Source organism: Homo sapiens, chromosome 2, assembly GCF_000001405.40.
Source record: "Homo sapiens chromosome 2, GRCh38.p14 Primary Assembly".
Classification (NCBI taxonomy): domain Eukaryota; kingdom Metazoa; phylum Chordata; class Mammalia; order Primates; family Hominidae; genus Homo; species Homo sapiens.
The window spans coordinates 152,268,921-152,270,591 of record NC_000002.12 but is presented as its reverse complement, the minus strand read 5'-3'; positions in this window follow the sequence as shown (position 1 = coordinate 152,270,591).

The window sequence follows — 1,671 nt, the reverse complement described above, 5'->3', positions numbered from 1 at the left end:
TTTATTTGTTTGTTTGTTTATTTATTTTACAGAGACGGGGTCTCACTATGTTGCCCAGGCTGTTCTCAAACTCCTGAGCTCAAGTGACCCTCAACTCCGGCCTCCCAAAGTGGAGGATTACAGGCGTTCAGTACTACCCCTTGCCGTTGTATTTTGTTTTGTTTTGTTTTCAGAATAGCCATCTTGACAAGCGTGAGTTAATATCTCATTGTGGTTTTGACTTGCATTTCCCTGATGACTTGTGACCTTGAGCATTTTTTCATATACCTGTTGGCCATTTGTATGCCTTCTTTGGATAAGTGTCTGTTCAAGTCCTTAGCCCATTTTTAAATCTGATGGTTTTTTTTTTTTTTTTTTTTTTTACTACTCAGTTGCATGAGTTCTGTACATATTTTGGAGATAAACTCCTTATCAGATATATGGCTAGCAAAAACCATTCTGAAGTTGCCTTTTCACTATGTTGATAGTTTCTTTGCTGCGCAAAAACTTTAGTTTGATTTAGTCCTATTTGTTTACTTTTGCTTTTGTTGTCTGTGCTTTGGTATCGTTTCTATGAAATCATTGCCAAGACCAATGTCATGAAGCTTTTCTGCTATTCTTCCTTTTTTTTTCTAGTAGTTTTGGAGTTTCAAGTCTTACATTTATATCTTTCATCCATTTTCAGTAGATTTTTGGGTATGGAGTAAGAGTCCAATTTCATTCTTTTGCATGTGAACACCCAGTTTTTAAAACAACATTCACTGAATAGACTATTCTTTCTCCATTGCCTGTTCTTGGCACCCTTATTGAAAACCAGTTTACTGTATATGTGGGTTTATTTGTGGGCTCTCTTTTCTGTCCCATTGGTCTATATGTTTGTCTTTATGCCAGTACCATACTGTTGTGATGATAATAGATTTATAATATATTTTGAAATCAGGAAGTCTGATGCCTCCAGCTTTGTTTTTCCTCAAAATTGATTTGACTGTTTGTGGTCTTTTGTGGTTCCATATGAATTATAAATCTTTTTTTCTAATTTTGCAAAGAATGCTGTTGGGATTTTAACAGGAACTTCATTGAATCTGTAGATCACTTTGCATAGTATGAACGTTTTAACAATATTGTCTTTCAAGCCATAAACACAGGATGTCTTTTGTTTTGTTTATATTTTTCTTAATGTCTTTAATTAGTATTTTGTAGTTTTCGGTATACAAATCTTTCAGTTCCTTAGCTGAGTTTATTCATTAATATTTTATTTTTTTGGTGCTTTATATATGAGATTGTTTTCCTAATTTCCTTTTCAGATAGTTCATTGTTAGTGTATTAAAGTGCATCTGATTTTTCTATGTTGATTTCGTATCGGGCAAATTTACTTAATTAGGTTATTGGTTCTAATCATTTTTGTTTATGGGGTCTTGGGGTTTTCTCTCCTTCTCTTTCTCTATGTATATAAAATATTATGTAGTCTGCAAGCAGGGACAATTTTACTTCTTTCTTTCCAACTTGGATGTTTTTATTTCTTTTTCTTGTCTGATTGCTCTGGCTAGGACTTCAAGGACTATGTTGAAAAGAACTAGGCCAAGCACTGTGGCTCGTGCCTGTAATCCCAGCACTTTGGGAGGCTGAGGTGGGCAGATCACTTGAGGTTAGGAGTTCAAGACCAGCCTGGCCAACAAGGTGAAACCCCATCTC